This window comes from Homo sapiens, chromosome 1 (genome assembly GCF_000001405.40).
Source record: "Homo sapiens chromosome 1, GRCh38.p14 Primary Assembly".
Classification (NCBI taxonomy): Eukaryota; Metazoa; Chordata; class Mammalia; order Primates; family Hominidae; genus Homo; species Homo sapiens.
In genome coordinates, this window is record NC_000001.11 from 210,092,817 (window position 1) to 210,116,897 (window position 24,081).

The window sequence follows — 24,081 nt, forward strand, 5'->3', positions numbered from 1 at the left end:
ATCTGTACCAAACATACAGACTTTTTCTTATTTCCCACACAATATAGTATTACAACATTTACATAGCATTCACATTGTGTTAGACATTGTAAGTAACATAGAGATGATTTAAAGTATATGGGAGGATGTACTTAGGTTATATGTAAATACTACACCATTTTATAACAGGTACTTGAGCATTTTTGCATTTTGGTATTTGAAAGGGAATGGTGGGGTTAGAACCAGTTCCCCACATATATTGAGAGATGACTCTGTGGTTAGACTATTAGACTCACTAGGTAAGACATTTAGTTTTTCTTTTTTTTTTCAAAATTGGGGCCTCTGAGCAAATATGTAAATTTGTGCTACATTTGTGCAAATTATCATTTTTCATTTGAACCAAGCATTTTGGTAATTTTTAAATGAAGCTTATAGTTCTTATGTAACTTTTTATCTTAGGAAGAACAGAGGAACTATTGAATATTTGAACTGAACTCCATAACAATGATAGTACAAACTACTGTTTCAGGGTCCCTTTTGAGAAAAGAGATGCACAGTTCATTAAAAGAAAAAAAAAGATCAGTGTTTAAATTTAATGTTTAGTATTGCATTCAGGATTTATCTACAAAGACTTAGCTGTTCTTAAATTATTTACTGGACTCTGTTTCCTTATTTCCCTCCTGCCCCCAACTCTGTCCTTGTTCGCAGATATGTTTATTCTCAATCACCGAGGTAAATCATTGAGGTAAAAATTAAAAGGATAATTTAAGAGTGAAAGAAAATGTGGTTTCATGTTAACTGCTAGAGGTAGAGATGTCTACTATAGACAAGATGGAGTCATAATTTATAAAGAATACAGACACAGATGTAGAGTGGGATAGAGTGCCCTTATAATGGAGAAGAGACAGAACACAGCCTCCAGTCTTTGCAGATTGATGGATGTTCGCAAACAGGGAATGGGCCTGATTCACAGTGCACCTCATTCTAGGATTCTGGATCCAGGACAGATGTAGAAAAACATTTCTGACACTGCTAGCTGAATGCTAGTTTAAGTTCATCTCAGTAACTGAAGAATGTAGGTGAGTTCTTGTTGAACATAGGTGAAGAACAAGCAGAGGTATTATTATGTTTGTTTTTCCAACCATATTTGTATCGCTTTGACCCTAGGGTGGCCACAGATCATGGGGTAATAGATGAAGTATGTATACATCGGGATTGTTTTGAGAGAGACAAATAAGCTGTTTAATACTTATCACTCCCTAATTTTTATGATACATAACAGGATCTTTCTTCGTATATGACTTTTATTTTTCCTAATCTTATTATGCAGGAGGCAAGGAGTGGGAAACCAGATCATTTTATTTGTGCCTCTGAACTAGGGAAAAAGAGAAGTCATTAGTAAATCTAATAGTTATGTTGCCATCAATTTTTTGATCCAGTTTTCAAAAGTTATTTACAATTATTGTAGACTATACTGTGTGTTGAGGCTAATTGGAAACAGTGACCAGATTCTTAATCATTATCAGGAAACTGCATTCAGAGAATGAGAAGAACACCCCCGCTGGATGAATTGCAGCCACCACCATATCAGGATGACAGTGGTTCTCCCCATCTGTCATGTACACCCTCAGAAATTGGGGACAGTAAATGTGAATTTTCCCACTGCAGCAACAGTCCAAGATGCTCATATAACAAGTGCCCAAGTGAAGGAAGCACAGGTCATGAAATAGAAAGTTTTCATAATAAAGGATATGAAGAAGATGTTCCAAGTGACAGCACTGCAGTCCTGAGCCCTGAAGTAAGTAAAAGCACATAGAAGTTTGAAAATGAATGTTATTTGGAGGATAATAATCCTGTGCTTCTCCTCTTGGTAAGAAGAATTGATTTTATCACTTATTCCTTTGTAACTTATAGTACCAGTATCCATCCTTAATCTAATCTTTATCCAACAAACTTATCAGGAATGTCCCAACTAGTCTTCAGCTGCCCCCACTCCCCAACCCCAAGCCCCACCACCAAAAGAAGATGGGTACCTAAAGATGTTTTTTTTAAATACTTTGTATAAAACATTCTGGAATAATTTACCTGTTTATTTCATCTTGAGGTTACTATTTGTATTATTTTTATTTTATTTTGGATTTTTTTACTATTGGGAGGTTACTCAATGTTTCACAAGTCTTTCAAAATAATCTTATTGTATTTTCATATCATAGAAAATGCAAGGGATAAATGATGATCAGCTTTACTAATGAAATTTGAATCCATGGCTTCATGCATTCAGAGTGGCTGGTTGGTTGAGCTTTAAGTTTACTTACTGTTTCGGAGCAAAAATGTGAAAATTACAACAAAAATAATTTTGTGGCAGTTTTGAAGTATTACTGTATTCTAAAAAGAATTTGTTTTAATGTTTCTGTCATAATGAAAACTATATAAAGACAATCTAGAGTTTTTATAAGTTAGTATTTAGATTTACTTTCAAGTGTTTTTGTTTTTGTTTTGAGACAGAGTCTGTCTCTGTCACTCAGAACAGAGTGCAGTGGCACAGTCACAGCTCACTGCAGCTTCCTCCCACCTCAGCTTCCCAAGTAACTGATACTACAGGTGTGCACCACCACACCCACAAATTTTTTAATTTTTTTGTAGAGACAGGCTCTCACTATGTTGCCCAGGCTGGTCTCAAATTCCTGGGCTCAAGCAATCTTCCTGCTTCAGCCTCCCAAAGTGCTGGGTTTGCAGGCATAAGCCACTGCACCCAGCCTACTTAAAAGTTTTAGATTGCAAGTTTTTACTGTTTTTGTTCCAGACAACATTCAGTAATACTGAAATATGTCCGTATTCTTACCAGATGAATTTTCAGATCTGCTGCCAAAATTAAATAATAGGTGTAGTTTCCTAATACCCAGAACAATTAAGCTATGGATAGAATTTCCTTAATTTTAGGTTTTTCTTCTATAATTGTTAAAACTACTCTGTATCTGTTATTGCTTTTTTTAGTATTTCTAGTATTACAGTATCTGACCGAGAAGAAAATTGTATGCTGATATTTTAAGTTTAATATATCATTATTTTATGATTTTTCATGATGAATGTTTCTTTGTGTTCCATTACCTAAACAAATTTGAGACAGCTGTTTTGTAGCTTTGTAAACTACATATATAGCTCACAAGTTAACAGTGAAGCCTGGATTGTGGGATTAATAAACAACAACAATAATACCTATCATCACTTGTGTCAGGAATTTTGCTATGAGCTTTATGTAGTCTGCTCATTTAATTCTAACAACCACATCTTTAGGAAGTTATTATTTCCATTTTATAAATGAAAACATTAAGAGTCAGAGAGCTAAACAATTTGACCAAGTAGAAGCAGCTCTTAAATAGTGAAACTTTAGTTCCAACCCAGGTCTGTCTGACTGCCAAAACAGTGCTCTTAACAACTATATTATATTGCCTTTTTTGATCCAAAATGTTGTGTGTGAAATTACTTTGATTCAGTGGTACCCTCCAAACATTACCAGGCAAACTCTCTCAGAGGAGTAAAGGACCAAAGTAAGATGCTCAAATTATTGTGTGTGCATGTGTGTGTGTGAGAGAGAGAGAAAGAGAGTGTGTTTTAGTCCATTTCACATACAAAGCAAGAAGTAAGAGGAGCTGGATGAAATCAGAAATCCATTAACACACCTGGGGATAAGCTGTAAGTGAGTATCGGTAGCAAGACCACACTGTGTGAGTCCTGTTTTATGCAGTGCCCATACATCCTGTCTCACTGTCTTCTTTTCCATCAGCATTCCTATTTATGATGTAACAAGGACCAGAGTTGAAATTTGAACAAGGGTATCAAGAGCCAACAGCACACACTTGTTTGCTTTGTGGGAGAGATATAGTTATACTCCTGGCCACCAGTGAAGCTTGTCAACCTACTAGGCAGTTGTAGGTTTTATCTGCATTTCTTAAGTAGAGCACATGGGTGACAGAGCTGTCAGCCCAGAGGCTACATGATCGTGGCTTGTGCATTTCATCCCTTTCTATAGGTAACACTCATTTGATCCGTCAGATTTTCTATTTAATCTTTCTTTGGCATATGTTACAAGTTATTAACTATTTATATTTAATATCGTATGAATTCTGCCTATGTCTCACAAGCTGCTTCTTTACTCACTATCTATAGTTATCACACACTGTGAGTTTTGTCTGTATTTCAGAAGCTGCTAACTTGCTATCTGTAACCACTTCTTTGGAATTTCCTCCGTCCTGCTTATTTTTGTGTCTTCTGTAGTAGCATTGAATGTACTCAAACAATATAGCAAATGCACATTACAGAAATATTTAGATGTGAATGCCGATAGCCTATGCTAATATAAAATTCACTTTTGTGTTTTTTCAAGTTTATTTTGCATCCTTGTAATAGATATTATGTGTCAGATAGAAAATTCTCACTTTTCTCTTGGTTTAATCCAGGCTGTAGCTATCTTAGAGCCTATCTACATACATGATTAAACTGAGAGAGGAGAGAAGGTTCAGAAGAATTCCATGGGAAGGAGTTTATAAACGCTGTTGATAACCTATTGCTATCTAAATAAAGATTTTTTAAAACTGGTCCCATACCTTGAAAGGAAGGATTGTTTGCTTATTGCCTGTTTTCAGAATGCAGATAATGTCTTTTATCTGTCAGTGTTCCACCCTTTCAACATTGGGTTTCATAAGAGTTGTTGGAATTTTGAAAAAAAAGAAAAAACAATCAGGGCGGCACCAAGAGAAGTAAAATTCAAAAATAGCTATCTAGGACCTGATAAACATTTTTATTGCCTGAAAATCTTAGCTGTCGTGATGCTATTTTAGAAAATATTTAATTGAAATACCAAAGCCATATAATTAATAATCTTTAATTACCAATTATAAAGTAGTATACATTAACACATTTTGCTCTAAACCGTAAATTTTTTAACAGAATAAGAATATGTTTTGATTTTCTTATGCTACATTAAAAACTGAATTCTCTTTTGGGAATTTATTTCTTCTCCCCAAGTACTGTTCTTCTGTTGTTTTTTTTCCTGCATACATTATACCAACTAGCATATAAGATTTATAAGATCAAGGACTAACTGGGCATGGTGGCTCACACCTTTAATCCCAGCACTTTGGGAAGCCAAGGCAGGAGGGTTCCTTGAGCCCAAGAGTTTGAGACCAGCCTGGGCAACATAGACTTTTGTCTCTACTAAAAATCAAAAAATTTAGCCAGGTGTGGTCGTGTATGCCTGTGATTCCAGCTACTCAGGAGGCTGAGGCAGGAGGATCACTTGAGCATGGGAGGCCAAGGCTGCAGTGAGCCATGATTGTGCCATTGCATTCCAGCCTGGTAAACAAAGAAAGACCCTGTGTCAAAAAAAAAAAAAAAATTAAGGACTCATGTCTTTTTGGTTCTCTCTGCAGAAAGAAGCACTCTCCCGACCTAAAATAGGGGTTGGCACATAGTAGATACAGTAGTTACGGTACATGTTAAGCTGCTACAACAAAAAGACCCCTAGCCCCCACCAAATACAATGGCTAAAGAACACAGAAACTTAATTCTCTTTTGTTTAACAACAGTGCAGGGTGAGCAGGGGGCTTTGCTCTATGAGATTATTCAGGAACCCAGTTCCTTCTCTTCTGTTTCTCTGCCTTCCCCTAGGGTATTGTCCTAGTCCACATGGTCTGAGCTGACCCACACTTCCTGTTTGTATATCTGCTTGTGAGAAGAGTGAGACAGAGAGTAGAGAGCAAGTAATTTCTTATATAAACCTGATCTGAATGTTTCACACGTAAATTATTTTTGCCTCCCATTGGCCAAAGCTGAGTCATGTAGTCGTATGAGCTATAATAGAGGCGCTGAAGTATAGTCTCTTGTGGACAGTGTTTTTTTTTTTTTACACAAATTCTCACCCTGTCACTGAAGCTGGAGTCCACTGGCATGATCTTGGCTCACTGCGACCTCTGCCTCCCTGGCTCAAGCGATTCTCCTGCCTCACCTACCTGAGTAGCTGGGACTACAGGCACCTGCCACCCATGCCCAGTTAATTTTTGTATTTTTAGTAGAGATGGCCATGTTAGTAGAGATTCACCATGTTGGCCAGGTTGGTCTCGAACTCCTGACCTCAAGTGATCTGCCTGCCTCAGCTCCCCAAATCTTGTGGGTAGTATTTCTAGCTAACACTCAGGAAGGTTTTGTTTTGTTTTATTTTGTTTCGTAAATGGAAAAAGAGAAGACTGAGATTCAGTAGTATTCACTGCCACTCAAAATTTAGAAAATTTTAGAAATTTATTAAATTGGCCCACATTTTGAAATGAGAATTATTTAAGATTTATTAAAATACTTGAAGAGGCAAAGTGGTATAGTTGAAAGGTCAGAGACGTAGGTTTGACATTGTTGGTAACTAGCTAAAACCCCTATTACATTCTAGATAGATAGACTGGCAAGAATTTGAGACAATTACAGGAAAAATGGTTATAATTTCTTTTAATTTCATAATTAAAAACTACCGTTACAGCCTTTCTTGAACTTTTAAAATGTGTGTTCTGCCATTTTCAATAGTCATTAATGTTAGAAAATAATATGTTTTTAATTGTGTTTAGAAATTGAAGTAAATACAGTCTATGTTATGGAAAGTAAATATTTGACCGCTAATATTTTGAGACCTTTATTTATAGTTTCATATTTCACATTTCCATTGATTTTTAAGTCTAAATATCTTTATATTTTATTACAGATGGGGGTGTTTTAGAACAATCTCTGAAAACGGAACCAAATTTTTCCATAGCGTTATACTTTTATTTATGTTCTCTTTCTCTGCAGCCTGATACTGTGCTGTCAATGGCATTGTAAATGAAATTGAAAGTAAAATGTAGTAGTTTTCTACAAAAGGAGCAGATATACCCACTAAAGGATATATTTTAAATTCTCATTTATAAAAACATACATCACACTTTCTCAGAATTGTAATGGTGAATATTAAATTCTAAACGTGTCTTTATTATCATAAGTTTTGAATTTAACTTACTGCCTGTACTAATCTCGCTCTATAGGGTAGCTTTTGGTTGTAGTTGACTGTTAATTATTATTGTATTACTTTCTTTGTGGCAGAATTGTTTTCACATCTTCTAAAGAAATATCAAGTATTTATTTACATGCTAGGTTAAATAATTGAGTTAAAAACTCTAACATTTAAATTTTCTTTTCTTAGGATATGTCAGCTCAAGGATCATCTTCGCAGCTTCCTAAACCTTTTGATCCTGAGCCAGAAGCTAAATATGGCACACTGGATGTGACTTTTGACTATGACTCACAAGAACAGAAGCTTCTGGTAACAGTGACAGCTGTCACAGACATCCCAACATATAACAGGACAGGTGGCAACTCATGGCAAGTACACCTTGTTCTTCTACCTATAAAGAAACAGAGAGCAAAAACCAGCATCCAGAGAGGACCATGCCCTGTCTTCACAGAAACATTTAAATTTAATCATGTTGAATCTGAGATGATTGGAAATTATGCAGTTCGGTTTAGACTGTATGGTGTACATCGCATGAAAAAAGAAAAGATTGTGGGGGAAAAGATTTTTTATTTAACAAAATTGAATCTTCAAGGGAAAATGTCATTGCCTGTGATATTGGAACCTTCTTACAATCATTCTGTGAGTATCTCATCAAATGGCCTGAATACAGTTTATGTTCATGGTTTATAGTATGCACAATTTTAAAAATCTTTAATCAAGCCAACAAGTTTGTCAGTCTATTTTTTTACATAGTAATCATGCCTTTACAAAAATATCTAAGCCCTGGATAGATAGATATACTTTTTCTTACCTAAAAAAGTTGCCCTTGAAGATAATTTGTGATTTATGTCTTTTATTTTATCCTTCACAGAGTTTTGGCCCAGGGTTTTACATGTTTTTTGTTGTTGTTGTTGAACATTTATTAAATGTTTGATTATGAAGTCATCCAAACTCCTTATAGAATTTATTATTTTTTTTCCAGGTTAAAACTAGGCAATACATTAAGAAGTATCAGCCCCATATGTTATTTGCTGTATGGCAGAAAGGATTTGCCCTTACAGAATATATATACCGCTCCCTAGGTCCCGACTGGATATGTTTCCAGAACTTCTGTGAAATTATTTTAAAATTTCAAAATAAATCTGGCCTCATTAGACTTTCCACCCTTTTTAAACAGATTGTAAAGTATTTCAGGAGAACCCTTAAGCTTAGTACTTTGAGCTAGTTCTCTCTTTTCTCTTTTTGTCCTCCAGATGATAATCACATATAAATCTCTCTCTGTCTTCATATTTTTAACTAAATTCCCACAAGGCATTGCAAATCACAGGAGAGAAATGTCTGCACTGTTTATTTAAACCAGGGAGATACATTATGCCACATAGTTATTTAGATTATGAAAAAATCTGTGATATGCTGTAAGTGTGCATTATGGTTTATATTTATTCATCTCTGTTATATTGAATACAAAGCATTTTTAAAATATAAATATACAGATTTTAGAATAGGTTTATATTTTAAAATAAAGGTATACTATTTTAGTGTTGTTTTGAGCTTTTAAATGTGTAAGCTTCGGTCCAAGTAGTTTAGGGTCTCATCTCATTTACATCAGGCAACATTTTATGTTGTAAGACCTTGATTCACAGTCAACACCATACCAGTTTAACTAAATGATTTCAGTGTCTTTAAGTACAAAATGATGATGTAAATATAGTATATTCATATGGGTTTCTAGGATAAGACTTAATCTCTGTTGGGAAAATTGATAACTTGTTATCCTTTTAAATTTTCAGAATTATTTTGGGGAAATACCTTTTAGAAATAATAGCAGCTTAAAAGAGGGGAGAAAAAAGAGTTCAGGCAATATTTCGGAGGGGGGAAGAACGAATTTTTCATAAAATTTAATAATCTACAGTTATTAATATGATTTCTAAACTTCTTCATTATTTGGTCTGAGTGATCACTAGTTACTCTGTGGAAAATAAACGCTTATATAGAAATCTCATTTAAATTAGAAGAGAAAGACTCTGTCATCAAGAGGTATGTAATTTATCTGTTACCAATTAATTATGTTTTAATTACATTCATTTCACAAAGAGAATGAAGCCATAGAAAATAATACTGTCTTATCTCTGTTCAAACTAAGCAATTTTTTAATGGACCTACATTACGTGTGTTAGCTTCTAGTCATTGATTCTGTAATCTTTTTCTGCCAACCAGTACAATAATTTCTGAGGAAAAAGTGCCAAATAAATAGCTTGTAAGACATAACATTTATTTTTTTTAACTTTTATTTTAAGTTCAGGGGTACGTGTGCAGGTTTGTTATATAGGTAAACTTGTGTCATGGGGGTTTGTTTTACAGATTATTTCATCACCCAGGTATAAAGCCCAGGACCTAATAGTTAATTTTCCTGATCCTCTATCTTCTCCCACCTGCCACCCTCTGATAGGCCCCATTGTCTGTCGTTCTCCTCTAAAGATGTAACATTTATATTTGAATAAAACTATCCATCTTCTGCCCTTTCTCTGTGTTGACATGCTTCTCAAATTCAGTACCCTGTATTTAATTGTTCTTTTTTGTCACTTTCCTTCTTTCTCCACCTTCTCAAAATCTCATTGGTTGCTTTTGGCTTCTGTGCTATCAGTTGTTTAGTCATTAAAATATACCAATAGAATGTATATATTCTATATATACTATAGTATTAATGTTCTCCCTGCTTAAGTTTTAATATTAACTTTGTGGGGAGATCTTGTAATTGCAGTTTACTTGGGTGAGTTTGGCTCTAATTTTTGTAAGATGCAATAATATATCTGTAAGAGATACACTCATAATTAAACATTTGTTCTAGTTGCTTTTTTTCCCCAGAGTCAGGGTCTCACTCTGGGAAAAGTCAGGGTCACCCAGGCTGGGGTGTAGTAGTGCAATCATGGCTGATTGTAGCCTGAAACTCCTGGGCTTAAGTGATCCTCCCACCTCAGCCTCTCGAATAGCTAGGACTACAGGTGCACACCACCAGGCCTGGCTAATTTTTTTTTTTTAGAAATCGAGTCTTGCTGTGTTGTCCAGGCTAGTCTTGAACTCCTGGCCTGAAGCGATTCTCCCATGTCAGTCTCCCAAAACGCTGGGATTACAGGCATGAGGCACCATGCCAGGCCTTCTAGTAGCTTTTGAATAATCACTTATTATTGTTGTCATTTTTATTGTAACTTTTGGCAAGGAAAAGTTTTAATCCAGCCAAAGAACTTGCAAACTACCATTAAAACACATTTAAACTTACAGTTTTTTTCATAGATAATAGGAAAATAGAATTTTGCATATAAAATTTAGTTTTATAGCTAGTTTTGCAGGAACTGATTGAGAGAAAAAAAAGACCAATGTCACCAAAATGACTTTCTGAGAACTAAACAGTGAGTTTCCCTGAGAATAAGATTAAAGTTTAACATTAAGGCCGGGCGCAGTGGCTCACACCTGTATTCCCAACACTTTGGGAGGCCGAGGTGGGCAGATCATGAGGTCAGGAGATTGAGACCATCCTGGCTAACACGATGAAACCCCGTCTCTACTAAAAATACAAAAAATTAGCCGGGCGTGGTGGCAGGTGCCTGTAGTCCCAGCTACTCGGGAGGCTGAGACAGGAGAATGGTGTGAACCCAGGAGGCGGAGCTTGCAGTGAGCTGAGATCACGCCACTGCACTCCAGCCTGGATGACAGAGCAAGACTCTGTCTCAAAAAAAAAAAAAAAAAAAGAGTTTAACATTAAGATATAGTTTGAAGTGTGCCTTCTTGATCAATGCATGATAGAAAATATACTTAAGAGTTTAAAAAGCATAATTTCTTTCTACTGACTAGCCCTGTAAACTAAGTAAATCATCTGATTATTTTGGGCATCAGGTTTCTCATTAGTGAAATCAGAGGATTAGACCAAGTGATCTCTAAAGGCCTATCCATCTCTGATATTGTCTAATTATGCTAGTATATATTGGGAATGGAGTTAGGCAGGAACAGAAATTGGTGAATTTTAGATGAGTTTTGTATGCGTGATATGACATTTTGTGGCAGACATGTATTATGTTTTCTCTTCTACCTTTTCAGTAACTATCTGGGAATAACCATGTCTACCTCCCTAAGGTAAGCCATAAAATTGACTTTCCCCGTCTCACTGGTAGATATGGCAGGAGCTGTGTGACCTAGACTCTGCCACTCATACTTATTTTCTGGAAACCTCAATACAGACTGAACAAAGAAGCAGACACTGCAGTCAGATCATGTTTCCATGAAGTTGATGGTGGAGGTATCTGGTGTTCAGAGGCAATAGTAATTCTGTTATAAAATAGCTCTGCTGATGCAGAAATGGTATTGGTGCTGGGCCACTAACAGTTGCAGTAGAGGAAAGTCCTTGGCAGAAAAGAATCCAGTGAGAACAGCAGCAGGTTTTCCTCACCTGACCAATTCTGTAGTATGGTTTGTAGACTTCATTCTTGAGAAGCTTAACCATTAACTTGGTTCTTTATTCATCCCTAGTCCTTTAATAAATTACTATTCCACTTTATGAGTCAGAGTTAGCGTCTGTTGTTTTCAAATAAGAATCGTGAAATAGCCATATGGTTTACTATTTACTTGCTTTAGTACTGTCTTATGCCAAACTCAGTAGCTAGAATGTTTTCAGTTATCCTTCCTACCATGGCATATATCCCTCTCATAATTTGAACTCTTATATACACAGCTTTGTTCAGATGGCACTCTTTCTTAGTATTTAACCCCAATTAATTTCTTCACTTGCATTTTTGGTACTATATTACTCTCTAACAGTTGCATAAAATAACCTTTCCCTTTTTCCTCATCCTGGTTTTATGTCTAATTTCAGCTTATTAGATTTGTTAATATTATTACATTTATTGATTGATTAATAATGAAACTCTATTCTTTATCTCACAAACATACACACAACCCTTCCTGTACAAACAGTACTTAATTCTGATCTCTTCAGAGTGGCTAGCAATAATAATAGTGAGGCTATTGGACAATTCTCAGAATATAGGAGTCTTTATTAAATCCTTGGTTTATTTTCATTATTATATATATGGTTTTTGGTGAGTTGCCTTTTAGGAAAACTGATATTTGACAAAGCTGTGATGTGTTTCATCTTGAAATAAGGTTCTCTACATTAATAGATGAGCAGCAGGCGTACCTGTTAAGTTTTTTTTTCTGTAGACAAATGGTTCTCGAAGTATGATTCCTGGACCAACATCATCACATAGGAACTTGATAGAAGTGCAGATTCTCATTCCCTCTCCGAAACTTTCTGAATTAAAAAAAACACTGAGGGTAGGGCCCAGCAATCTGCATTTTAACAAGCACTGTACATGATTCTGATATACATTAAAGTTTGTGAATCACTGCTTTTGACCAGGGTTTGCAAACTATGACTTGTGAGTCAACTCCGGCATGTAGCCTGCTTTGGTAAGGTCTGTTGCTCCTCTCTGCAAAAGCAGCATAGATTACCACTCTGTTGAACTCAGGTGTGGCCAGGTGACTTGCTTTTATCTTCTGCTCGTAACCTTTAAGAATCAGAATAATGCATTCACTACTATGGAAGCATGTGTGGAAATGGGGCCTCTTTGAGCTTTGAAGGAAGCCTCTGTTGCCAATCCAAAATCGATATGTTGTATAAGGAGGAAGTAAACCATTGTTGAATTAAGCTGCTGAGAATTTGGAGTTCTCTGTTACTATAGCATAATCTACCCTGGCTGATAAAACATTTGCTCTTCTGACTAAGGAGTACATTAACCCCTGCGGTCGAGAATCAGATGAAGCAGGTAATATAGTTTGGATTTCCCCTCCAAATCTCATGTTGAACATGTCGAAATGTAATCCCCAATGTTGGAGGTGGGGCCTGGTGGAAGGTGATTGGATCCTGGGGGCAGATTTCTCATGAGTGGTTTAGCACCATCCTCTTGCTGCCGTCCTCACGATAGTAAATTATTTCTCATGAGATCTGATTGTTTAAAGGTCTGTGGCATCTCCCCCTCTCCCTCTCTCACTCTTGCTCTCTTCATGTGACATGCCTGCTTCCATTTTTGCCTTCTGCTGAGAGTAAAAGCTCCCAGTGGCCTCCCCAGAAGCTGAGCAGATTGCTGCACCATGCTTGTACAGCCTGCAGAACTGTGAGCCAATTAAACGTCTTTTCTTTATAAATTGCCCAGGTATGTCTTTTTAACAACATAAGAATGGCCTAACACAGCAGGGAATTGACTAACACAGTTGCCTTCTTCTGAAAGAATCTAAGGCACCATATGTGTTGCAGATTTGATTACCTGGGAAGCAGACTCTGAGAGGGAGTTTAGTGTGCCAAATGTTTGTTAAGGAGTGCTCTTGGGATTCATACTTGTAAAAGAGGAGATGGAAGCAGGATTGGGCAGAGAGAAGTCAAGCTGCAGTGCATGCCCAAAGACAGTCTTAGCCTACCCCCAGGGAATTCTGGAACTAAAATAGTCCCTCAGAGTTGTCCCCATTTGGGCTGAGATGGCCAGGCCTTTATACTCCCATCAGTCAGTCATTGCATGTTGGTTGCCGCTTGTATTAGTCTGTTCTCATGATGCTAATAAAGACATACCCAAGCCTGGGTAATTTATAAAGGAAAGAGGTTTAATTGACTCACAGTTCCACAGGGCTGGGGAGGCATCTTGAAACTTACAATCATGGCAGAAGGGGAAGCAAACATGTCCTTCTCCACATGGCGGCAACAAGGAGAAGTGCCAAGGAAAAGGGGGAAAAGCCCCTTATAAAACCATCAGATCTCTTGAGAACGAACTCACTCTTATGAGAACAGCATAAGGGTAACTGCCCCCATGATTAAATTATGTCCCACAGGGTTCCTCCCATGGAGGCGGGATTATGGGAACTACAATCCAAGGTGAGACTTGGGTGGGGAAACAGCCAAACCATATCATTCTGCCCTTGGCCACCCCCGCAAATCTCATGCCCTCACATTTCAAAACAAAATCCTGCCTTCCCAACAGTCCCCCAAAGTCTTAACTCATTCTAGCATTAAGTCAAAAGTCCAAGTCCAAAGTCTCATGTGAGACAAGGCAAGTCCCTTCCACCTATGAGCCTGTGAAATAAAAAGCAAGTTAGTTACTTCTTAGATGCAATGGAGGTACAGGCATTGAGTAAATACACCTGTTCCAAGTGGGAGAAATTGGCCAAAACAAAGGGGCTACGGGCCCCATGCCAAGTCCAAAATCCAATAGAGCAGTCATTAAACCTTAAAATTCCAAAATGATCTGCTTTGACTCCATGTCTGACATCCAGGTCATGCTGATGCAAGAGATGGGCTCCCACAGCCTTGGGCACCCCTGAAAGGGTGACCTTGGGTGAGGCAGTTCTTTACAGTTGAATCAGTTCCTGAAGGGACTGACATTGAAGGCTGTCTTCCAACAACAGCCCTCCTGACAGCTAGGGCAACAGTCTCTTTGTAGATAGATAGGGAATTATCTATTGACAATTACAATTGTCAACTACAATTCAAGGTGAAACTTGAGTGGAGAAACAGCCAAACCATATCATTCTACCCTTGGCCCCTCCCACATCTTATGTCCTCACAATTCAAAACAAAACCATACTGACATTTGATTGACAGTGTATCACAGTGTCTATCATAGCTATAAATCTGGACAGTATAAAAAATACTGTATTTGATTTTTTTAACTGGAAGGCAGACATAGGGCAGATGGGAAGAAATGTAAGAATGCTAATATGCTAATGTAGTTAAGAAAAATGACTAACCCTCTCCTATTTAACTTAGAGAAGGATTATTTAGAAAATAATCAGCAAGGAAGAAATATTTATGTAAAGTTCAACTATTCATTTTATTTCATTTTTTTCTATTAAATTTATGTAAGGTAAAATGGATTTTTAAATAAAATAGCTATAGTTTGATCCTATTTTTATAAAAGTATTTCTATTCCTTTTTCTGTTAGTATATATTCATAGAATGATGCCTGCAGGATGTTTACCTAATAGCAATTTAGGTTTAGGTTTATGGTGATTTTTTTTTACTTCTATCTTTGTTTATTTCTGTCTTTGTTTTTTTATGATAATCATTTGTCAGTTAAAAAATGGAGGGTCAGAAAGGGCCAGGGAATTTGGACCCTGGTCAGTTTGGTGGGGATGAATAAGTAAATAAGTTCCTTGCTGGATTATTTAAGTCCTTGAAGGGATGGGAGAAAACACAGGACCACAGTGAAAACTTAAATTTTCTTAAGTTCTAATGATAGAGGGTACTTAATATTTTCTTAGATGTCTGTATTTCATTAAATCTGGCTCTTGCTTACACTTCTGTGTGAACACAAAGCAGTTCTGGAAGTAGACATGAGAGTACATGATTGTCTTGGGTGAGAAGAGATCTTCAGGAACCCCTAGATTTAAAAATTGGAGAAAAGAGAGGTAAAGTAGGAAGAAAGAGGCAATAAGAGATCATGAAAGCCAAGAATGAAGTTCATGAAGGAAGGAATAATCAGCTTTGTCAGATGTTGATGATGGAAAGAATAATCTGAATATTAAAAACTGTGTGTTGGATTTAGGATATGGAAGTCATAGATAGCTTTTCAGGGGCTAATTTTGATATTGTGAAGGGGCTAGAATCCAAACGAGAGTGGCAGTCATTTAGACAGTTTTTTCACCAAATCTGGCTATAACAATAGGAAGAAAGAGAGAACAGTATTTGGAAAGTGAGGGTTTAGGGAGAATGTTTTTGAGGTGAGGAGAGCCTTGGGCATGTTTAAATACTAATGCAAATGATTTGATTAAAAAAAAAAAGGACAAATAACTGAAGAGAGCCATTAATCAATGTGTTTGGGATATAAACAGAGAGGCAAAAGTGTTAGAGTATTTTCAAGAGATTTACTTAAATGGTAGATCATGAAATAAGAGAGAAGTGAAGCCAGAAAGGGGATTATGGGCAGGAGAAGTAGAAAGGTTAGTGGACTGAAAGTCCCAAGGATATCAAGAAAGAGTTGTGAGAGGAGTAGCTAAGCAAGAAGTGTTGAAGGATGGCAGACTGGTTGAAAGGGGAATGTTTTCAGTTCATATGATGTGGAAGGAGAAGGGTCCAGAGTGTGATGGTGGAAGTGGGCATCTGAGATAGAGTAAAAGGTACAATTACTGGAGAGGGATAATTTTCAAGAGGGCTAGGTTCTTAGATAGGCTGAGTGGACACTGAAGTTACAAAAGATGATGACGGAAGTTGAAGTGTAAGAAGGTTGAATCCAGAATCAAATTTACAAGAAAAAAACAACTCCATCAAAAAGTGGGCAAAGGATATGAACAGACACTTCTCAAAAGAAGACATTTACGTGGCCAACAAACGTATGAAAAAAAGCTCATCATTACTAGGCATTAGAGAAATGCAAATCAAAAACCACAGGATACCATCTCACTCCAGTTAGAATGGCGATCATTAAAAAGGCAGAAAACAGACCGGGCGCGTTGGCTCACACCTGTAATCCTAGCACTATGGGAGGCTGAGGTGGGCAGATGACAAGGTCAGGAGGTTGAAACCATCCTGGCCAACATGGTGAAATCCCGTCGCTAATAAAACACAAAAAATTAGCTGGGCATGGTTGCGCGCACCTGTAGTCCCAGCTATTCGGGACGCTGAGGCAGGGGAATCACTTGAACCTAGGAGGTGGAGGTTGCAGTGAGCCAAGATTGCAGCACTGCATTCCAGCTTGGCAACAGAGCAAGACTCTGTCTCAAAAAAAAAAAAAAGAGAGAAAAAACAAAACAACAACAACAAAAAGGAAACAACAGATGCTAGAGAAATAAGAATGCTTTTACACTGTTGGTGGGAGTGTAAATTAGTTCAGCCATTGTGGAAGACAGTGTGATGATTCCTCAAGGATCTAGAACCAGAAATACCATTTTGCCCAGCATTCCCATTGCTGAGTATATACCCAAAGGATTGTAAATCATTCTGCTATAGAGACACGTACACATGTATGTTTATTGCAGCACTGTTCACAATAGCAAAACTTGGAACCAACCCAAATGCCCATCAGTGATAGACTGGATAAAGAAAATGTGGCACATACACACCATGGAATACTATGCAGCCATAGAAAAGGATGAGTTCATGTCCTTTGCAGGGACATGGATGAAGCTGGAAACCATCATTCTCAGCAAACTAACACAGGAACAGAAAACCAAACACCACATGTTCTCACTCATAAGTGGGAGTTGAACAGTGAGAACACATGGACACAGGGAGGGGAACATCACACACCGAGGCCTGTCAGGGGATTGAGGGTTAGGGGAGGGATAGCATTAGGAGAAATACCTAATGTAGATGATGGGTTGATGGTTGCAGCAAACCACCATGGCACGTGTATACCTACGTAACAAACCTGCAGATTCTGCACATGTATCCCAGAACTTAAAGTATAATAAAAAAAATTTTTAAAAGAAGATTGAATCAAGGACCATTTTCCTCAAGGAACAAAGAAGAAATGTTCAAGGAATGAAGATGAAATGTCCAGGAGGACAAAATAGGAGGACAGGATGATACAAACTTTAAAGGAAAATAGTTATTCTTTTCCACAACTTTTAGAGGAGCAATGCTTGAGAAACAGCAGAGAACTTTGCTTCCTGATCTTGAGTCACTTGGGATATGAGGGAATAACCAGAATGAAAAGTCAAGAGGGAATGAAGTATCCTCCAGGAAGAATTCTGTTTCAATTAAACAAGGTGTTGGGAGTCCAAAGCAAAGATTAAAGTTCTAGAAGAGTTTATCGTAGATCAGGGGTACCAAGGAGACATAGTAAAGGATTATACTAAAATGTCAATCTCAGTCATAATTTGGTTCTATTTAAATCTCAGATTTCACAAGTCTAATTTAAATCATATCTTTATAGAAATATATTAGATTGTTATTCTTATTTTTGAGACAGAGTTTCGTTCTTGTTGCCCAGACTGGAGTGCAATGGCGCGATCTCAGCTTACCACAACCTCTGCCTCCTGGGTTCAAGCAATTCTCCTGCCTCAGCCTCCCGAGTAGCTGGGATTACAGGCATGCGCCACCACACCCAGCTAACTTTGTATTTTTAGTAGAGATGGGGTTTCTCCATGTTGGTCAGGCTGGTCTTGAACTCCCGACTTCAGGTGATCTGCCTGCCTTGGTCTCCCAGAGTGCTGGGATTACAGGTGTGAGCCACCACATTAACATAAACCATTTAACTTATCTATGTAAACCCAAAATCCGGTACTAATTTTCACACACGTCTGTGTGAAGAGACCACCAAACAGGCTTTGTGTGAGCAATAAAGCTTTTTAATCACCTGGGTGCAGGCGGGCTGAGTCCAGAAAGAGGGTCAGTGAAGGGAGATAGGGGTGGGGCCATTTTATAGGATTTGGGTGGGTAGTGGAAAAATTACAGTCAAAGGGGGTTGTTCTCTGGTGGGCAGGGGTGGGTGTCACAAGGTGCTCAGTGGGGGAGTTTCTGAGCCAGGAGAAGGAATTTCACAAGGTAATGTCATCAGTTAAGGCAGGAACCGGCCATTTTCACTTCTTTTGTCATTCAGTTACTTCAGGCCATCTGGATGTATACATGCAGGCTTGGGCCCAGAGGCCTGACATTGTTTTCTTAATAAGAAAAATAAAACAAAATACTGTTGAAGTGTTGGGGTGGCGAACATTTTTGGGGGTGGTATGGAGAGATAATGGGCAATGTTTCTCAGGGCTGCTTCGAGCGGGATTAGGTTCGGCATGGGAACCTAGAGTAGGAGAGATTAAGCTGAAGGAAGATTTTGTGGTAAGGGGTAATACTGTAGGGTTGTTAGAAGAAACATTTGTTGTATAGAATGATTGGTGATGGCCTGGATGCGGTTTTGTATGAATTGAAAAAGTAAACAGAAGACACGAAGTCCGAATAATAGGAGAAAAACAGATATTAAAGGACTAAGAATTGGGAGGACCCAGGACATCCAATTAGAGAGTGCCTAAGGGGGTTCAGCGGAATTACTTGCTTTGTTGGCAAGTTTTTGGGTTCTATCCTTAATATAGTCCTCCTTTTTAAGTTGGAGGCTGTGAGGTGAGGTGTGTTTTTAAAAGACCATTAGTCCATTTTATCTTTCCTGAAGGTTGAGGGTGGTAAGGGGCATGAAGGTTTCACTGAATACCAAGAGCCTGAGAAACTGCTTGGGAGATTTGACTAGTAAAGGCCGGTCCGTTATCAGACTGTACAGAGGTGGGAAGGCCAAACCAAGGAATTATGTCTCACAGAAGGGAAGAAATGACTGCAGTGGCTTTCTCAGACCCTGTGGGAAAGGCCTCTACCCATCCAGTGGAAGTGTCTACCCAGACCAAGTGGTATTTTAGTTTCCTGACTCAGGGCATGTGAGTTAAGTCAATTTGCCAGTCCTGGGCAGGGGCAAATCCCCGAGCTTGATGTGTAGGGAAGGGAGGGGGCCTGAACAATCCCTGAGGAGGAGTGGAATAGCAGATGGAACACTGAGAAGTGATTTTCTTGAGGACAGATTTCCACGATGGAAAGGAAATGAGAGGTTCTAAGAGGCAGGCTAGTGGCTTGTAACCTACATGGAAGAGGTTATGAAATAATGACAGAATAGAATGGGCCTATGAGGCCGGAAGGAGATACTTTCCTTGGTCCAAAAACCATTTGCCTTGTGTCGGAAGAGATTGATAAGTGGAAGTTGTAGTGGGGGAGTATTTGGGAGTGACCGATGAGAAGGAGAAAAACTGACAGTGAGGGACGGAAGTTGGAAGCTAGCTGCTGCTTTAGCTACCTTGTCAGCAGAAGTGTTGCCCTGAGCGATGGGATCTGATGCCTTTTGATGGCCCTTGCAGTGAATGACTCCAGCTTCCTTTGGAAGTAAAGCAGCCTTGAGAAGAGTTTTTATTAAAGAGGCATTAATGATGGAGGACCCTTGCGTAGTGAGGAAACTTCTTTTTGCCTATATAACAGCATGGTGGTGCAGGATATGGAAGGCATATTTAGAGTCAGTATAAATATTGACATGTAGTCTTTTGCAAGAGTGAGGGCTCGAGTCAAGGCAATGAGTTCAGCTTGCTGAGAGGTGGTGGAAGGGGGCAGAAAGTATATGCGTCAGGTGTGAGGAAGAAAATAGATTTTGCAAGTTTTGAGAACTGTAGAGAGTGAGTTGAGCATAGTTTTTTATTTTGAGGGCCTCTAAAAGTATTAAAGCAGCGGCAGCCGCCGCACGCAGACATGAGAGCTAAGCTAAAACACTAAGGTCAAGTTGTTTGGACAAAAAGGCTACAGGGCGTGGTCCCGGCTCTTGTGTAAGAACTCTGACCGCACAGCCCTGCACTTCGGCTGTGTGTAATGAAAAGGGAGTGATGAGTTAGGGAGAGCTAGTGTGGGAGCTGTTTTTTAAGGAATGGAAAGGGGAGTGGGGAAAGGATTTAGGATCTGTGGGGTCAGCTAGGTTTATCTAGAGCAGAATAATGGGTTGTGGAGGGGTTGTGGAGGGAGGTACTGAGGATAGGAGAGTATATGGGTTTGGCACCATGAGGTGGATAGGCAAAACAATTTAGTTGATAAGGCACAGATCCTGAACTAACTTGTAAGACTTGTCCGGTTTTTGGACAGGTAAAATGGGTGAATTGTAAGGAGAGTTTATAGGCTTTAAAAGGCCATGCTGTAACAGGCAAGTGATAACAGGCTTTAATCCTTTTAAAGCATACTGTGGGATGGGATATTGGTGTTGAGCGGGGTAAGGGTGATTAGGTTTTAATGAGATGGTAAGGGGTGCATGATCGGTTGCTAAGGAGGGAGTAGAGGTGTCCCATACTTGTGGATTAAGGTGGGGAGATAGAAGGGGAGGATGTGAAGGAAGCTTTGAACTGGGGAAAAGGGTGGCAATGAGGTGTGGCTGTAGCCTAGGAATAGTCAGGGAAGCAGATAATTTAGTTGAAATGTCTCCACCTAATAAGGGAGCTGGGCAGGTGGGGATAACTAAAAAGGAGCGCATAAAAGAATGTTGTCCAAGTTGGCACCAGAGTTGGGGAGTTTTAAGAGGTTTAGAAGCCTGGCCATCAATACCCACAACAGTTATGGAGGCAAAGAAAATAGGCCCTTGAAAAGAAAGTAATGTGGAGTTGGTAGCCTCCACATTGATTAAGAAGGGGACGGACTTACCTTCCACTGTAAGAGTTACTGAAAGAGTCTGTGTTGGTCCAGGAGGCTTCTGAGGCAATCGGGCAGTGTCAGTCTTCAGCCGCTATGCCGAGAAGATCTGGGAAGGAGTCAGTCAGAGAGCCTTGGGCTAGAGTTCCAGGGACTCTGGGAGTGGCTGCCAGGCAAGCTGGACAGTCCGATTTCCAGTGGGGTCCCTCACAGATGGGACATGGTTTAGGAGGAATCCCGGGCTGCAGGCATTCCTTGGCCCAGTGGCCAGATTTCCAGCACTTAAAGCAAGATCCTGGGGGAGGAGGTCCTGAAGGAACGCCTGACCACTGTGGCTTAGGTGTTTTGAAGTTCTTGTGTGCTGGAGATGTGGCTGGGGTTCCTCTCACAGCAGAGGCAGGTAATTGCAACTCTTCTCTATTATTGTACACCTTGAAGGCGAGGTTAATCAAGTCCTGTTGTGGGGTTTGAGGGCTGGAATTTAATTTTTGGAGCTTTATTTAATATTGGGAGCAGATTGGGTAATAAAATGCATATTGAGAATAAGATGGCCTTCTGACCCTTCAGGGTCTGGGGCTGTAAAGCATCTAAGGGTTGTTGCCAAACGGGCCATGAACTGGGCTGAGTTTTTATATTTGATAAAAAGGAGCCTAAACGCTAACTGATATGGGAGAGGTCGGATAAAGAAAAAGGAGCATTAACCTTGACTGTGCCTTTAGCTCCAGCCACCTCTTTAAGATGAAATTGTTGGGCAGGTCAGGGAGGGCTAGTCATGGAACAAAACTGTAAACTGGACCAGGTGTGAGGAGGGGAGGTGATAAAAGGATTATAGGGTGGGGGAGCAGAGAATGAGGAAGAATTGGGACCTGGCTCGGCCTAGCAAGGAGCAGCCTGGGGAGGAGGGGAGAGGTCAGATGGGTCCATAGAAAAGGAAGATTGGAAAGACTTAGCAATGCTTAGGGTTGGGACTGAGGGGACAGGCAGGAGGGAAAGAAGGAATATTTGGGACGAGTTGCATTGGGAACAGAGACTAGGGAGGGACTGATGTGTAAAAGAATGCCTGGACATCAGGCATCTCAGACCATTTGCCCATTTTACGACAAGAATTATCTAGATCTTGTAGGATGGAAAAATCGAAAGTGCCATTTTCTGGCTATTTGGAACCATTGTCGAGTTTGTATTGGGGTTAAGCAGCATTGCAGAACAAAATAAGGCATTTAGGTTTTAGGTCAGGTGTGAGTTGAAGAGGTTTTAAGTTCTTGAGAACACAGGCTAAGGGAGAAGAAGGAGGAATGGAGGGTGGAAGGTTGTCTATAGTGAAGGATGCAAGCCCAGAGAAAAGAGAGGGTAGAGACACAGAGAGAAGGGTTGGGGGGTGCTTGCCCCCCAGGAAAGTGGTGCTTGCCACTAAGGGTGAAGGATCAAGGCAGGCATCCCTGCAGTGATCAGACACCTCTGAAACATGGGTGAATAATCAAGCAGGCGTCCCCGCAGTGATTAAACACCAAGGGAAGACTGTCTTCCAGAGTCCGTTACCAGCACCGGAGTTTTGGGTTCATGGATAAAATGTGTCTTCTCTGTCTCTACCAGAAAAGGAAAGGAACTGAAATTAAGAGAAGGGAGAGATTGAAGGATGGCGGCAAGGTTGAAAGGAGAAAGAGGTTGAGGGATAGTGAGAGAGGTTGGAGAAGAGAGTAAAAAGAGGCCACTTACCCGATTTAAAATTGGTGAGATGTTCCTTGGGCTGGTTGGTCTGAGGACCCGAGGTCGTAGGTGGATCTTTCTCATGGAGCAAAGAGCAGGAGGACAAGGGATTGATCTCCCAAGGGAGGTCTCCCAGTCTGAGTCACGGCACCAAATTTCATGTGCATCTGTGTGAAGAGACCACCAGGCTTTGTGTGAGCAATAAAGCTTTTTAATCATCTGGGTGCAGGCAGGCTGAGTCCGAAAAGAGAGTCAGCGAAGAGAGGTAGGGGTGGGCCGTTTTATAGGATTTGGGTGGGTAGTGGAAAATTATAGTCAATAGGGGTTGTTCTCTGGTGAGCAGGGGCGGGGGTCACAAGGTGCTCAGTGGGGGAGCTTCTGAGCCAGGAGAAGGAATTTCACAAGGTAATGTCATCAGTTAAGGCAGGAACCAGCCATTTTCACTTCTTTTGTCATTCTTCAGTTACTTCAGGCCATCTGGATGTATATGTGCAGGCTTGGGCCCAGAGGCCTGACACTAATTATTGCTGTATAAATGTTGAATGAATGGATGGGTGAATAAGTTCATAGGGTATGTATATTATCTCTGAGTTTATTGCCTGTAGTTTCATTTTTGCAGCTAATCTTATATTATTGAACTTGTTTTGTTTTTGTTTTGTTTTGTTTTGAGATAGAGTCTCACTCTGTTTCCACGCTGGAGTGCAGTGGCACAATCTCAGCTCACTGCAACCTCCACTTCCCAGGTTCCTGGTTTCAAGTGATTTTCCTGCCTCAGCCTCCCAAGTTGCCAGGACCATAGGCATGCGCCACCATGTCCGGCTAATTTTTGTATTTTTGGTAGAGGTGGGGTTTCACCATGTTGGCCAGGCTGGTCTCAAACTCCTGACTTCAAGTGATCTGCCCCCCTTGGCCTCCCAAAGTATTGGGATTACAGGCATGAGCCACCATGCCCATCCTGAACTCATTGTTTTATATCTTAATCTAGATTTTAAACACTTGGAGAAGAGAGACTGTTTTATTTATATGGTATTTTTCATAGTATCTAAAACATAGGTGTTCAATGAACACTTATTAAATTTATTCATCAACATATGGTATTTTTCATAGTATCTAAAACACAGGTGTTCAATGAACACTTATTAAATTTATTCATCAACATGTCCAAGTAAATCTGATCATTCTTAAATTCTTATTCAGTTTCATATAA

At 39.4% G+C, this 24,081-nt stretch overlaps 1 protein-coding gene across 17 annotated transcripts in view, besides 1 other annotated feature; it reads left to right on the forward strand.

Moving 5' to 3' along the window:
- SYT14 (synaptotagmin 14) overlaps window positions 1-24,081 on the forward strand; it is a 233,173-nt gene that overhangs the window by 154,600 nt on the left and 54,492 nt on the right. For 12 of the 17 annotated variants that reach the window (NM_001397545.1, NM_001256006.3, NM_001146261.4 and 9 more), the window contains 2 exons: window positions 1,506-1,777; window positions 7,196-7,645. In NM_001397545.1, coding sequence (NP_001384474.1) covers window positions 1,506-1,777; window positions 7,196-7,645 — 722 coding nt within the window. Of the gene's footprint in view, window positions 1-1,505; window positions 1,778-7,195; window positions 7,952-24,081 lie in introns of those variants that run through there. The other 5 variants (XM_047417076.1, XM_047417063.1, NR_027459.3 and 2 more) reach the window with 4 other exon arrangements.
- Window positions 18,316-18,835: an enhancer, noted in NCBI's record as "NANOG hESC enhancer chr1:210284477-210284996 (GRCh37/hg19 assembly coordinates)". NCBI's record gives its function as "activates a minimal SCP1, AML or CMV promoter by ChIP-STARR-seq in naive H9 embryonic stem cells {active_cell/tissue: H9 hESC(naive)}" and the evidence as "EXISTENCE:reporter gene assay evidence [ECO:0000049][PMID:30033119]".